Here is a 12,927-nt window from a genome sequence, read left to right as displayed (position 1 = left end):
AGCCCAGGAGTTCAGGCTGCAATGAGCTATGATTGCACCACTGCACTGCAGCCTGGGTGACAGAGCAAGACTCAGTTTCTTCAAAAAAAAAAAAAAAAAAAAAAAAGAGGCCAGGCACGGTGGCTCATGCCTGTAATCCCACCACTTTGGAAGGCCGAGGCAGGCAGATCACCTGAGGTCAAGAGTTCAAGACCAGCCTGGCTAACATGGTGAAACCCCCATCTACTAAAAATACAAAAATTAACCAGGCGTGGTGGTGGGCACCTGTAATCCCAGCTACTCGGGAGGCTGAGGCAGGAGAATCGCTTGAACCCGGGAGACAGAGGTTGCAGTGAGCCGAGATTGCGTCACTGCACTCCAGCCTGGGTGACAGAGTGAGATTCCATCAAAGAAAAAAAAAAAAAAAAGATCAGATTAAAATTGCCAGGAGATATCACCACATATCACAAGGACAGCTAAGATGAAGAAGTCTGATAACACTAGTGTTACCGAGATGGAGAAGTGTGGGAAAGTGGGGGAGGAGGGCATTTCCAGCACTTTGGGAAAGGATTTGGCACACCTAGTAAAGCTGCAGATGAGAGACCCCAGAATCAGCAGCCCCACCGCCAGGCGTCCGCCCTCCCGAAGCAGGCACCTGTGCCCCAGCAGACAGGAATAAGAATGCCCACCAGCACCACCGTACATGGCCAGTCTGGAAACAAAATCCCAAATGTCCCTAAACAGGTAGAATGGAGAAATAAACTATGCTCTAGGGACCCAGTGGAAAAGTACCTGGCAGCAGAGAATAAATGACAGCCACAGCACGGGTGACTCTTGCAAACAGCCTAATGAAGCCAGACATAAAAGGAGACACCCTGATTCGACTTCTGTAAAGTTCACACACAGGCCACACTCAACACTCAACTGCTATTAAGGGATACATCTACGGTGGCAAAATCATAAAGAAAAGCAAGTCCTGGTCATAAAAGTCAGGCCAGGCCAGGCCTGGTGGCTCACATCTGTGATCCCAGAGATTTGGGAGGCAGAGGTGGGAGGACCGCTTGAGTCCAGGAGTTCGAAACCAGCCTGGGTAACATAGTTAGACTCCATCTCAAATCTGTCTATCTATCATCTATCTATCTATCTATCTATGTGTGTGTGTATATATATGTGTATATATATGTATACATATATGTGTATGTATATGTATATGTGTATATATATATGAAGAAGAATGTCAGGGCAGCAGTAACTTCTGCAGAGGGAAGGGTTGTAAATAGGAAGGAAGCTTCTGGAATCCTGGCCATGGTCTATTTCTTTTGTGTGTGTGTGTGTTTGTGTTTGTGTGTATGTGTGTGTGTGAGACACAGTCTTGCTCTGTCGCCCAGGCTGGAGTGCAATGGCACGATCTCGGCTCACTGCAACCTCTGCCTCCCGAGTTCAAGTGATTCTCCTGCCTCAGCCTCCCGAGTAGCTGGGATTCCAAGCGCCCACCACCATGCCTGGGTAATTTTTTGTATTTTTGGTAGAGACGGGGTTTCTCCATGTTGGCCAGGCTGGTCTCGAACTCCTGACTTCAGGTGATCCACCCGCCTTGGCCTCCCAAAGCCCTGGGGTTACAGGCGTGAGCCACCACGCCCCACCATGGACTATTTATTGGTCTGAGTGGCTATGGCACGGGAGTTTATTTTATATGTATTTATTCATAACACTGTACAAATATGCTTCATGAGCATTTCTGTATGCGTGGTAAATTTCTTAATTTTTTAAACAAGCAAGTGTATTTGAGCGCCCATTGTGTTGGGCACTGGGGATGGGCCATGCCGAGCTCCCGCTAGCCCACGGTGAGCTGATGGAGTGCAGGTGAACATCCTGTGGCTTCCTGTTGAAGTCATGCACAGGGTCTCCCCAGCTCTGTAGCCCCCCTGCTCTGCACCTGGCTGGGGAACAGCCCTCACGCCCCCCTCACTCCACCCCCCATTCTCTCCCGGTCTCGCACCCTCATGGCACCTCACTCTGGATTTCCGGAGATGGTGCTGAAGGCGAACCTGGAGAGGGACATCTTTCCCACTAGGGGGTCCCAGTTGGGGAAGTGCAGGGGCTTGGAGGAGCTCCCTCCCTTCCCCTTCCCACCCTCCCAACAGCACACATGACCTTGACACCCAGTGGCCCCCACGTGGGCCAAGTGCATGCCCACCATGGGCCCAGCCAGGCCCCCAGGCCCAGCGCCCTGTCCTTTGCCACCCAGTCCCCCAGGCTGGGAATGATGATGGCAGTGCCGACAACTCCCCTCTGGATCCCAAGCTATCGGGGCTGGGCTTAGGCTAGGGCGCTATAGATCCTGCAGGCTCAGGGCCAAGAGGATGGGATGGAAAGGACATTTCCCCCCCCCCACCCCCCCCACCTGTTTACCAGGACCCAGGGCCGCTATCTCCAGCTGCGATCTGCTGCCTCCCTTTATCTCAGCGGGGCCAGCCCTGGGTTCCCAGCAGCAGCCTCCCCGGCGCGCACTTCCTGCCAGCAGCCCAGCGTTACAGGAATCCGCACACTGAACTCAGCATGTGAGTGTGTGCCCACACCCCAGCGCCTGCGCCTGGGCGGGTGCCAGGGAGCCGGGGGCGCCGTGAAAGGCAGCCCACCTGGGGCTTATGTCGCAAGGCCCCCTCCAGCCAGCCCAGTGGCCTCCCACTGCTCAGGGGAGCCGCAAATCTCTCAAGAAGGCCAGGGAGGGGGCTGTCTTCAGGACCCCCAGACCTGACTCTGAGAGGCTGAGGCCAGGCCAGCCCCTGTTCCTCTGGAATCCTCGCCATGTCCTTCTGCACAGGGGTCTCACACCCTGGGGGGTGTGCACACTTCTGCCTGGGGGGTCCCAGGGGCAGGGGATGGCGAACCACATGTCCCTCCATTGTCAGTCACCTGGCTGGTGTTTACTGAGTCCTGTGGTCCTGGCACTGGGCTAGGCATGCAGGACACACCAAAGGAGGAGGGCGTCTGGGCCCTGCAGGCACAGGGCATCAGCCACACGGAGAAGTCAGAGGAGTAAACAGGCAGCTGTGACCCGTGCGCAGTGGGAAGAAAAGGTGCTATAGGCAGCACAGGAGGAGGGCTACCTCCATCCCCCACTGGGCTGGGCCAGGAGGGCTTCATGGAGAATGAGGCGTCTCAGCTAAGATCTGAAGACTTAGAAGGTGGTGACCAGGGATGCGTGCCGACGGTTGGGGGTTTTCCAGACAGAATGCAGGTGCAGAGGTCTCGGGGTGAAAGAGAGGCCAGCGCATTCGGGAACAGAAGTGTTGCAAGCCAGAGTGTGGGGCGGGGAGGCGTCTGGGAGGCAGAAGGGCTGGATCCCACAGAGGCCAGGGAGGAAGCCCCGCCGAGGGGCCCCACTGCACCCACGGACAGAGGAGCTCAGAAGTTTGGGAAGGGCTGGGCTGCAGGGGTCAGTCCTGGGGGGCAGGGGCTCAGGAGAGAAGGGAGCAGCTGGCATGTGGGGGTGGGGCCAGCCTGCGTTGGGGCAGGAGATGACCCCAGGACCTCCAGTGATGGTGACCCTTCTAGTGAGAATGTCAAGAAGAACTGCAGAGAGGGGAGGGAAGAGGGTCAGTGCTGGGACAGGGGTGGGGGCAAGTAGAGTTGGCTCCACAGAGGGCTTTGGGCTTCTCATCCCAGCCTGGGAACTGCGGCCCGTCCCCAGCTTACCAGCAAGACAACTCAGATCTCAGTTGCAGCCAGGGTCACACACACACACGTGCGCACACACACATGCACACACACACACACACCCATGTACACACGCATGCACACACACACATGTAGGAGCCCAGACAACCCCCCAGAGGCCAAGCTGGGGTCATGGGGTCCACCTGCCACAGGCCTCACTGCACCTTTCCGTGTGAGAGCCCACCCTTCTTGCTCCTCCACACTGTCAGACCCCACTGGGACAAGGCAGGGCTGGCCCAGGTGACCCGGGGACTAGATAGGAGGACCCAGAAGAAGGAAACTGTTCTGCCCCAGGTTCCCCCAGGGAGAGGCCACCTATCTGGGGAGACAGCTCTGATTTGGGAGAAAGGGAGAAAGGCCCTGTTGGGTGACCAGCTGTGCCTCTCGGGCAGGGTCCTCGGGCCTCTGTGACCCCAGCCTCCCTGCCCATCCTTCCACTGCAAAGCCGCTGGGACCATTGGCAGGGAAGCTGCAGAGGGCAGGCTTTGCAGACTGCGAAGCTTGGCAAACAGGAGGCCATTCTGTGATTCTGCCATAGCTCGAGGGGCCGGGGGTCCATTTGTTTGTCCCCCTTCTCCCCTGAGCGCTGCTATCCCTGCCCCCAGTCCCTGCCCCGCCAGACCACCTCCTTTCCTTCCCACAGAGGCCTCCGTTCCCCGCCCCCTACTTCCCAGCAGAAGGTCTGGAGCCAGACAATGAGATAAGGGGCTTGTTTTCTAAGGGCAGGAATTTGGTGCAGATTGTGGGTCAGGCCCAGAAGGGCTCTGGGGAGGGGAAGGCAGCAAGCCTGTCCATCACATGGGTGTCCTTGGGACCACTGACCCTGCGGGTACTTACAATTCCCACCAAGCTGAAGGAAGAGAGATGGAGAGCCCCTGAGAGGTCATCAGGCCCCGGATGTAGCTTTTGGGCTCCATCCCCACCCCTGCTCACTTCCCCAGCCACGCTGGCCCTCAGGGCCACAAACGCAGCAGCTCCTCTCTACCCAGAGGCTTCACCCCTGCTATCCCTCTGTCCAAAGTCGGCTCCATCTTCGAAGCTCAGCCTAATCACTGCTTCCTCCAAAAAGCCTGCCCTGCTGCCTGGACTGGGACTGTTAGAGCTGCTTCCTCGCTGCCATCCTCTCACGGCCAGCATCTTGTCCCCCACCCCTGGGACCTGAGCTCTGGAGGGCAGGCCACCTCTGCTCGCCCTAAGTCCCCAGGCCTGACCTGGAGCTGGCCTGTGGTAAAGGCCTGGCCATGACTGATCTAGGATGGGTGTCCTCCTCACCAAGGGCCACCCTCACCAGACGCTTGGCCCAGCAGCTGTGGCCCCTCCTGGATCTTTCTCCTATGGGGGACAGAAAGAGGAAGAGGAGCCGCTGAGTGGCAATGGGTGCCTGTGCTCCCTGTGTGGGGGAAGGGCACCCCACAGTCTAGACTGTGTCAGAGTTCACCCCAAAGCCCCCGGGCCCTCAGAGTTCCAAGCTGGGATCAGTAACGACAATGATAATAACAGCCACAGCTGGGCAGGTCGTGATGGCTCACGCCTGTAATCCCAGCACTTTGTGGGGCTGAGGGAGAATCACTTGGGCTCAGGAGCTTGAGACCAGCCTGAGCAACACAGCAAGACCTTGTCTCTACGAAAAACACAGAAAGATTAGCCAGGCATAGTAGCACTTGCCTGTAGTCCCAACTACTTGGGAGGCTGAGGTGGGAGGTTCACCCAAGCCCAGGAAGTCAAGAATGCACTGAGCTGTAATCACACCACTGCACTCCAGCTTGGGGGATAGAGTGAGACCCTGTCTTAAAAAATTAAAAAACAGCCACAGTGGGGTGACCACCCTGAGCTTACAGCAAGCCAGGCATTGGGGTCAGCACCAAACACATATCCAGTCACTGAATGCTCACAACAGCCCAATCTGCAGTTGAGGAAACCGAGGCACAAAGAAGCTACATGGCTTGTCCAAGGCCACACAGCTGGCTTGAACTTCAGCACCACCCTGCCCCCATGGAGGCAGTCCACCCAGGGGCAGGGGCCTATGGAGGAGGGGCTCCCCACGCATTCTTTTAGCGGTCTCCCCTTAGACTGGAACCCGGCTGGAGACATAGCCCTGTCCCCCAGCCTGGCACCTGGACACCTGGACACTGCCTGGCGCACCGAACTTGCTCAACAAATCAATACTGAAGATGGTAAACGAGGGAAGCTGTGTTTTAGGGGCAGCATGAAACAGTGATTTAGGGCTGCCCTCTGGAGACAGCGGTACCCCGCCCGGACCAATTCCTACCCAAGTGGCCTCCAGCTGTCCGTTAGCTCCGCGTCTCCTGTTCCCCATCTGCAAGACAGGGATAGCAATAGTGCTTGTCTCCTAGAGTCGTTGGGAGGTTTAACTGAGCTAACATTTGCAAAGGGCCTGGGGCAGAGCCTGGCACATGGCAAGTGCCACATGAGCGTCTGTGTTATAAAAGCTCGCCCAGGGCTGGGTGCAGTGGCTCACGCCTGTAATCCCAGCAATTTGGGAGGTCAAGTCGGGTGGATCACCTGAGGTCAAGAGTTCGAGACCAGCCAGGCCAACATGGTGAAAACTCCTCTCTACTAAAAATACAAAAAAAAAAAAAAATTAGCTGGGCGTGGTGGCGCGCGCCTGTAATCCCAGCTACTCGGGAGGCTGAGACAGGAGAATTGCTTGTACCTGTGAGGCGGAGGTTGCAGTGAGTCAAGATCGCGTCACTGCACTCCAGCCTGGGCGACAAAGCGAGACTCTGTCACACACACACACACACACACACACACACACACACACACACACACTCGCTCGGCCTCGGTTTCTCCTTCAATGAGCAGAACCTTCTGCTTCAGCATCACGGGCTCGCTGGTTCTCCGCCGCGACGCAGCCCGTACTACAACTCCCAGCGTGCCACGGGGCCCGTTCGCAGACGCTCGCGCACGCCCGCCGCGAGGGAGCGCGAACTACAACTCCCAGCGTGCCACGGGGCTCGCTCCCTGGACCCCCGGCCCAGGGCGGCTGCTTCCCAGCTCTAGGAATTCTGGCCGCACCGACCACGTCGCTCTCGCCGCCTTCGCTGGGGAGTAGAGGAGTCAGCAGCTCCCGCCGGGGTGGGGAGTCGGGCGCTGCCCGCGCCATGCTCCGCAGACTGGCCCGAGCGGCGGCCCCGGTACATGGGGCGCTCCGGGCGGGGTGTGGGAGCGCGGGGGTCGCAGCCTACGTGGTGGGCCTGCGCAGCGACAAGGTGACCAGGCCCGGGCCGGCCATGAGGTGCGTCATGGCCGAGGCGGTCGTGGGGGACGACGACTACGGCGAAGACCGGCGTGCAGGCCGGGGGTCGTGGAGGCGGCAGCGGAGCGCTGTCCGTGATGGTCTGGGACGCAGGGGAAGTGGCTCCCTTGGCGCTTAAAACCCATTTATGCCTAGTGTTCCATTATTGGAACGCTAAGCATCTGGGAGGTATTTATGTCCTACTGCTCAAGGTCATCGCCAAGGTCTGATGGCAAAAATTCAAAAAATTGCAACCTCCGACATAAATGGGTGTAATGAACACCTGCCACAGGATAGGCTTGCCGTCTGCGTGCGTGCTGCTGTTACCTGAAAGTTAGAAATGCAGATTCCGGCCGGGCGCAGTGGCTCAAGCCTGTAATCCTAGCATTTTGAGAGGCCAAGGCAGGCGGATCACGAGGTCAGGAGTTCGAGACCAGCCTGGCCAACATGATGAAACCCCATCTCTACTAAAAATACAAAAATTATCTGGGCGTGGTGGTGGGCACCCGTAATCCCAGCTTCTCAGGAGGCTGAGGCAGGAGAATCACTTGAACCCGGGAGGCAGAGGTTGCAGTGAGCTGAGATCGTCCCACTGCATTCCAGCCTGGGCGACAAGAGCGAGACTCCATCTCAAAAAAAAAAAAATAAAAATAAAAATAAATAAATAAAAGAAATGCAGATTCACATGGCCTGCCGAGAAGAACCTGCATTTCTATAGGCTCACCAGGTGGTTGTGTGTGTCCTGCATTGTCACCCAGCTGCCCCCTGAGATGGGTGATGTCCAGTCTTGCAGAGGAGGGTTCTGAGATGTGGAGGGAGGCGCTCCAGGCCCCATACTTAGTAAATGGCAGAACCAAGGTTTGAACCCGGGTCTTCTGACTCTGAAACCCACAACTGTTCTCCTGCACTGCCTTCCCCCACAGAAGGCAAATGGAAAATAGATGTAGAAAGGGGCAGGTTCTACAGGCTGCACCTCGCAAGGAGTGGGTTCTAATAACCTAGGGAGTGTCTCCAGGGTACAGCGACCCCCAGCCCCAGCCCTGGGTTGTGAGTTGCCATAGTGAACCACTTTGACTGTTGGGGTGTGCACACCCCTCAGCTAGGCCAGGACAAGCCATGGGGTCACCAGTTGAATCCCGAGGGCCCGTCTGCTAAGGGGTTAAGGGATGGCTGGGGCTAAGCATGTATCCAGCTGCTGCCCAGCGTTGCTGGAGATGCTGATCTCCATGCTCCCAGGCAGCCTCACATGTCAACAAGTCACTGCCGCTCAAGGAGAGGCTGGGGAGGCGCTTGAGTTGATGGGAGTCTAGAGAGGGTGCCCTGGGAAGCAGAGGATGGGGCGAGGCTGTGGCTCACGGGGAAGGGGGCTTCACAGAGGAGCCCTCCTGCAGGCTGAGTGGAAGCATCCCAGGCAGGGAAGGGAGCGCCGGCTCACAGGGCAGGGGTCTTCAGGAGCAGAAGCAGACTGGTGAGAAAGGTCTTCAGGGCGCAGGTGGGGATGTGGCAGGTGTGGAGAGTGCAGGAGGCTCTGAGGAGGGGGGGCAGAGGCCAGGTCACTCCAGCCCTGAGTGTCATGCTAAGGACTTGATGCCACAGTTGGGGGGACCACAGTGGGCTTTACAGCAAGAGCGGGAGCCTTCCTCACCCTCCAGCTGCACCCTCACACCCCGTCCAGCCCCCCACTCATCCCTCCTGACGAGGAAAGGAAGTCAGCAGAGAAACCACAGGCCCCACCTGCAAAGGGCTGAGGGGAAAGGAAGTGAGACAGGTGTGAGGTCTGCCGGGGACAGGTTCAAACCACAAGAGAGGTTCTTGGGGGGAGCGGGGAGAGGCCATGGCCCAGGGTAGGTGGGGTGCAGAGTTGACTGAGGGCCCTGTGGGGCTGGATGTGTGGTTGCTAAGCCCACAGAGTGTGCAGCTGGTGGATGGGGCTCCAAACCCACTCAGCTGCTCACCGGAGCCTCGGGCTAGGGGCCTCACCTGGGCTCAGGGCGTGCTCTGGCCCAAGTGACACAGGGAAAGCAGCATGGACGGTGCTGACACCCGAGTGTGCAAGCACAGCGGCTTCCCTGTCCCTCCGCAGAGCTGCAAGAAATGGCTGTGGAGCTGCTAGGGCTGGGGCGCACCCTCTTTGTGCCCTCCAACACTATGGCCAACCTCATCTCTGGTGAGCGCAGGGCGACTTCTGTCTGCCTAGCAGGTCCTCAGTGCATATGGGGGGGCTCTGACACTCATGGACCACATTCCTCCATTTCTGTTGGGTTGGTGGGGAGCCCTGGAAGGAGATGGGGGAGGAGGACAGTGGGGGCTGCAGGTCTGCTCCTCCCTAGCTCCTCTTCCGAGGGTCCCCAGGGCCTCTGGGCCAGCGTCAGGGACCTCTCCACATAGCCCTGGCTCCGGGTTCCTGCAGCCACACCTTCCTCTCACCCCTCAGGCCTGTTCTCCGGGCTTCCCTGCTCCTGCCTCCCCTCTATAAACCGTCCCATGATTAAACACTGCCAGTTTCCCAGTGTGTGTGTGCCGTCTGTTTCCTGCCAGGGTCTGACGACTGCAGGTGCCTCGGCTGCGTGTCCACCAAGAAGCAGCATTGCAGCAGCTTCTCCAGCAGGCGATGCTCTGTGGAGGGGCCTCCAGGCGCAGGTGTGCAGGCTGGGTGTGGCCCAGCGATTCCCAGCGCAGCACAGCTATCCTAGACTTGTGTGTTTAATGGGATGGTCTTCTGGCACGTAGCACTGAGGTGTCTTGAAGGTGCTGTTTCCTTGCCGGCCTCAGGCATTTGTGAGTTGACTGTAGCCTTAGGGCTCAGCCTAGCCACGCTGAGCAGGGCCACATGCCTCCAGACTCAATGCCAAGACCTGCCCTCCTTCTGTCTCAGTGATGTGTCACTGCTGGCGCCGGGGCTCCCAGCTCCTCCTTGGGCAGGAGTGCCACCTCCACGTCTATGAGCAGGGTGGGGTGGCTCAGGTAAGGAGCAGGCATTGCTCACCTGGGGCCCTGGGCATCCTCCAGCCAGCACAGGCTGCTCAGGGGCAAACCCCCTTCCCAGGCACCAGGCTGGGACCTGCGGAGGGGAGAAAGGGACAGCCATGGAGAAGCTGGCTGGGATGGCAGCCTCTCCAGGGGAGGAAGGAAGGAGAGCAGAGCCCCAGATTTGCCACGTGGGGGCGGCAGCGGCTGGGGCTGGCCCCAGGCTTGCCGGGCAGACACCTGGGCGGTGCTTGGTGCCTGGTGCCCTCTAGTGGACACTCGGAGCACTCCCGCGCTCCCGACGGGAGCCAGACAGCAGCATCTGAAGAGTTAATAGGGGAGGGGCCCAGTGCCCCCCAGCTGGGACGTCTGTCTAGATGCACAGAACAGAGGAAAGGCTCCAAGGCCCAGGCCTCGGGGGAGCAGACACAGGACTCAGGGTCTGGCTCCTTACTCCAGAGGAGCCCCCCACTCCGCCAAGAGGTGCCCCTGGACCCCTCAGCCCTCATCCTCTTCCTGACCCACAGAGGGCTGGAGTGCACTCCCACTCCCTCCCAGAGCTGCCCCACTGCACTCTGGACTGGCTGAGCTGGAGAGGATGATCACGCGGGGCCTCCAGAGTCCCTACCACCAGGTCTGCGAGCTCATTTGCCTGGAGAACTCACACAGCATCTCGGGGGTCCGGATCCTCCCCATCAACTACCTACGCCAGGTAGGCCCAGCCCCACCACTGTGTGCCCCCCACCAGCCTGATCCTGGCTTCCTGTGCCCCTGGCCCATCCTGGGGTTCAGTCCCCTCTGATTTATGCCATGGGCACCCATCAGCGGCCAGACCTGTCACAGGAAGGACACATGTGTGGTCCTAGGCTGAGACACAAAGGGAATTATTACCCCAGGTCAGGGCCCCTAGTCCCTGCACCAGCCCAACAGCAGAGATGCCCCCACCCCCAAGTCCCCAGAGCTGAGTCCCAGAGCAGCACCAGGACCTGCTGCCCTGGCGCAGAAACGTGTGCCCCATGAGGCTGCAGGAACAAGCTCGTGTGAGTGCCCTCCACCTGGTCCTTGCCACCCACGTGCGAGGTGAGGAGGCCGCAGTGTCTGAGCTCTGCTGTTTACCAGACACTAGTTAGGCAGCAGCCTAACTCTCCAAGCCTTGCGTTCCTTGCCTGTGAAATGGGAGCAGCGGCGTCTCCCTCGAGTTGTTGTGCAGCCTAAATGAGGTGACACACATTTACCCTTGGCCCACGGTCGTTTGGCCCATGCTCAGTGTGCGACAAAGCTGGGTTAAATGTGCACCCCCAGATCCTCCCAGAGCCCAGCATGGAGGCTTAGGCAGCACAGCCTGACTGCTTGGGTCCCAGATCACCAGAGCCAGTCACCAGCCAGGTCTCCTGATCCCTCCTGATTCCTCAGGCAGCTAAGCCCAGGACCCTCCTCCCTCTATGCCTCCCTCAGGCCTGGCCCCTCTGACTCTGCCTGCACCTCACCCCCAGGTGCACCTCCTGGCCCAGACCTATGGGGCCTGGGTCCACCTGGACAGGGCCCAGCTGATGAACGTGGTGCTGGCCCTGCATGTCCCGCCCACCTACATTGTGGAGCACTGTGACTCTGTGTCTTTCTGCCTCTCCAAGGTGGGAAAGCCCTGGGCTGGCCTCCCACAGACAGGTGGGGTGGGGCGCCCCAGCAGGAGGCAGGGTTGGATTCCTGAGCTCCATCCCTGGCAGCTGGCCCCAGGTTCCCCTTTAACACCTCTGCAGATGGGGCTACGCATCTGTCCCCACCCTGGCCCAAGGACAGGGATGTGAGCTGGCAGGAGTCTCTCCTCTCCACCTCCCAGGGCCTGGGCGCCCCAGTGGGGTCCCTGGCTGGGAGGCCCAAGGACTTCATTGAAGAAGCCTGGCGCCTCCAAAAAGCCCTGGGTGGAAGCATGCACCAGGTGGGGATGCTGGCTGCGGTGGCCCTGGTGGGACTGGTTGACACAAAGCAGGCACTGTGGCAAGACCATGGGAACGCCCAGAGATTCACCCAAGGTGCCTGGACAGGACGCCCCACCCTCGCTTCCCTGTGCTTCCTCTGACTTGGCCTGAGCTGTGCCGTCGGGGGTCCCCCAGCAGGCCTGCAGGCTTCTGGATCCTGGGACTCAGGGTGGCCATTGAGTCACTAGGGCGGGACCCAGGGCACCAGCTGCTTCAGCAGACCCTACTCAGCGCAGAGTCCAGCCTGGGGAAGCCCTCGGTGGACGGCCAGGATTGTGATGCTCTGCAGAGTCTGGCAGAGCCTCTAACCTGGGTCTTCCATCTGCTCACTGAGTCCTCCAACAATCCCATGATGTCCCTACTTCACAATGAGGAAACAGAGGCCCAGAGAGGTCAATAGGTTTGTCTGAGATCACATAGCTAAACGCAGCAGAGCCCAGTCTGTGTGACTGCAAAGGCCAAGTCAGGACACAGGGCCCTTCCTTCTCCTACCGTGACCGAACTGCCCCCTGCCTCCCGGGTGACCTTGCTGGCAATGGGGTCAGGGTCAGGGCCTGGGGTCACCTCTGCTCACCTCAGGACCTGGCCCAGGACTCCAGGAGCTGGTGTTGTCCGTCTGCTCAGTTGATCCCACCTTCGTGGAGACGAACATGGTGGTGGTGAGCATGGCTGGGTTGCGGGCCGTGAGTGCTGATGAGCTGGCCCACACTGGCCACGTGGCGTGCGTGCCACTGTTCCTATGGACAGAGCAGTCCGTGCTTCCGTGTGGCACCGCGACGTCTCGGTGTAGGACACTGAACTGGTGCTGAGGAAGTGGGAGTTTGTGCTGAGGCCGTTGGAGTCCTGAGGACGGAGTGACCGGGACCCTGTGCCCGGGCTGGGGTGGAAGCAGGGAGTGGAGGTGTTCCCAGCAAGCAGGCAGCAGAGGAGGTGTTACCTGCTCCTGGGGCTCTTTGGTCCCCTTCACCCCCACAACACTCAGGGTTAGGACCTCCCCCATGCTTGTCAGCACACACTGAATTCCTC

The 12,927-nt window shown here is 59.2% G+C and overlaps 1 long non-coding RNA gene and 1 pseudogene across 1 annotated transcript, besides 14 other annotated features; one reads left to right on the top strand and one right to left on the bottom strand.

Moving 5' to 3' along the window:
• Positions 1,711–2,575: an enhancer, noted in NCBI's record as "H3K4me1 hESC enhancer chr17:76254747-76255611 (GRCh37/hg19 assembly coordinates)". NCBI's record gives its function as "activates a minimal SCP1, AML or CMV promoter by ChIP-STARR-seq in naive H9 embryonic stem cells {active_cell/tissue: H9 hESC(naive)}" and the evidence as "EXISTENCE:reporter gene assay evidence [ECO:0000049][PMID:30033119]".
• Positions 1,711–2,726: a biological region, named in NCBI's record as "CRISPRi-validated cis-regulatory element chr17.5435". NCBI's record gives its function as "regulatory_interactions: SOCS3".
• Positions 1,996–2,165: an enhancer, noted in NCBI's record as "experimental_47472 CRE fragment used in MPRA reporter constructs". NCBI's record gives its function as "activates a minimal promoter by MPRAs in K562 erythroleukemia cells, with activity observed for both the introgressed and non-introgressed 17:76255242 variant alleles {active_cell/tissue: K562}" and the evidence as "EXISTENCE:reporter gene assay evidence [ECO:0000049][PMID:34662402]".
• Positions 2,138–2,726: a transcriptional cis regulatory region, noted in NCBI's record as "candidate enhancer chr17.5435 targeted for multiplex CRISPR interference". NCBI's record gives its function as "positively regulates SOCS3 gene expression with high confidence in K562 cells {active_cell/tissue: K562}" and the evidence as "EXISTENCE:mutant phenotype evidence [ECO:0000015][PMID:30612741]".
• Positions 2,438–2,487: a silencer, noted in NCBI's record as "silent region_9055". NCBI's record gives its function as "represses an Ori minimal core promoter by ATAC-STARR-seq in GM12878 lymphoblastoid cells {active_cell/tissue: GM12878}" and the evidence as "EXISTENCE:reporter gene assay evidence [ECO:0000049][PMID:35858748]".
• Positions 2,898–3,217: an enhancer, noted in NCBI's record as "active region_12886". NCBI's record gives its function as "activates an Ori minimal core promoter by ATAC-STARR-seq in GM12878 lymphoblastoid cells {active_cell/tissue: GM12878}" and the evidence as "EXISTENCE:reporter gene assay evidence [ECO:0000049][PMID:35858748]".
• Positions 3,228–3,277: an enhancer, noted in NCBI's record as "active region_12885". NCBI's record gives its function as "activates an Ori minimal core promoter by ATAC-STARR-seq in GM12878 lymphoblastoid cells {active_cell/tissue: GM12878}" and the evidence as "EXISTENCE:reporter gene assay evidence [ECO:0000049][PMID:35858748]".
• Positions 4,226–4,684: a transcriptional cis regulatory region, noted in NCBI's record as "candidate enhancer chr17.5434 targeted for multiplex CRISPR interference". NCBI's record gives its function as "positively regulates SOCS3 gene expression with high confidence in K562 cells {active_cell/tissue: K562}" and the evidence as "EXISTENCE:mutant phenotype evidence [ECO:0000015][PMID:30612741]".
• THA1P (threonine aldolase 1, pseudogene) lies at positions 5,056–12,651 on the top strand (annotated as a pseudogene).
• Positions 6,402–7,119: an enhancer, noted in NCBI's record as "H3K27ac-H3K4me1 hESC enhancer chr17:76250203-76250920 (GRCh37/hg19 assembly coordinates)". NCBI's record gives its function as "activates a minimal SCP1, AML or CMV promoter by ChIP-STARR-seq in naive and primed H9 embryonic stem cells {active_cell/tissue: H9 hESC(naive and primed)}" and the evidence as "EXISTENCE:reporter gene assay evidence [ECO:0000049][PMID:30033119]".
• Positions 6,582–6,851: an enhancer, noted in NCBI's record as "active region_12884". NCBI's record gives its function as "activates an Ori minimal core promoter by ATAC-STARR-seq in GM12878 lymphoblastoid cells {active_cell/tissue: GM12878}" and the evidence as "EXISTENCE:reporter gene assay evidence [ECO:0000049][PMID:35858748]".
• Positions 6,882–7,031: a silencer, noted in NCBI's record as "silent region_9054". NCBI's record gives its function as "represses an Ori minimal core promoter by ATAC-STARR-seq in GM12878 lymphoblastoid cells {active_cell/tissue: GM12878}" and the evidence as "EXISTENCE:reporter gene assay evidence [ECO:0000049][PMID:35858748]".
• Positions 7,120–7,838: an enhancer, noted in NCBI's record as "H3K27ac-H3K4me1 hESC enhancer chr17:76249484-76250202 (GRCh37/hg19 assembly coordinates)". NCBI's record gives its function as "activates a minimal SCP1, AML or CMV promoter by ChIP-STARR-seq in naive H9 embryonic stem cells {active_cell/tissue: H9 hESC(naive)}" and the evidence as "EXISTENCE:reporter gene assay evidence [ECO:0000049][PMID:30033119]".
• LOC105371910 (uncharacterized) lies at positions 8,750–12,925 on the bottom strand. Its single transcript, NR_164160.1, has 2 exons — positions 12,476–12,925; positions 8,750–10,019 (listed from the first exon to the last, which is right to left on the bottom strand). It is a non-coding gene; the product is annotated as an uncharacterized LOC105371910 (long non-coding RNA).
• Positions 10,302–10,351: an enhancer, noted in NCBI's record as "active region_12883". NCBI's record gives its function as "activates an Ori minimal core promoter by ATAC-STARR-seq in GM12878 lymphoblastoid cells {active_cell/tissue: GM12878}" and the evidence as "EXISTENCE:reporter gene assay evidence [ECO:0000049][PMID:35858748]".
• Positions 10,533–11,178: an enhancer, noted in NCBI's record as "H3K4me1 hESC enhancer chr17:76246144-76246789 (GRCh37/hg19 assembly coordinates)". NCBI's record gives its function as "activates a minimal SCP1, AML or CMV promoter by ChIP-STARR-seq in naive H9 embryonic stem cells {active_cell/tissue: H9 hESC(naive)}" and the evidence as "EXISTENCE:reporter gene assay evidence [ECO:0000049][PMID:30033119]".
• Positions 12,926–12,927: the final 2 nt, after the last annotated feature.

The sequence above is a fragment of the Homo sapiens genome, chromosome 17 (assembly GCF_000001405.40).
Source record: "Homo sapiens chromosome 17, GRCh38.p14 Primary Assembly".
Classification (NCBI taxonomy): Eukaryota; Metazoa; Chordata; class Mammalia; order Primates; family Hominidae; genus Homo; species Homo sapiens.
This window is presented reverse-complemented; position numbering and strand designations above follow the sequence as displayed.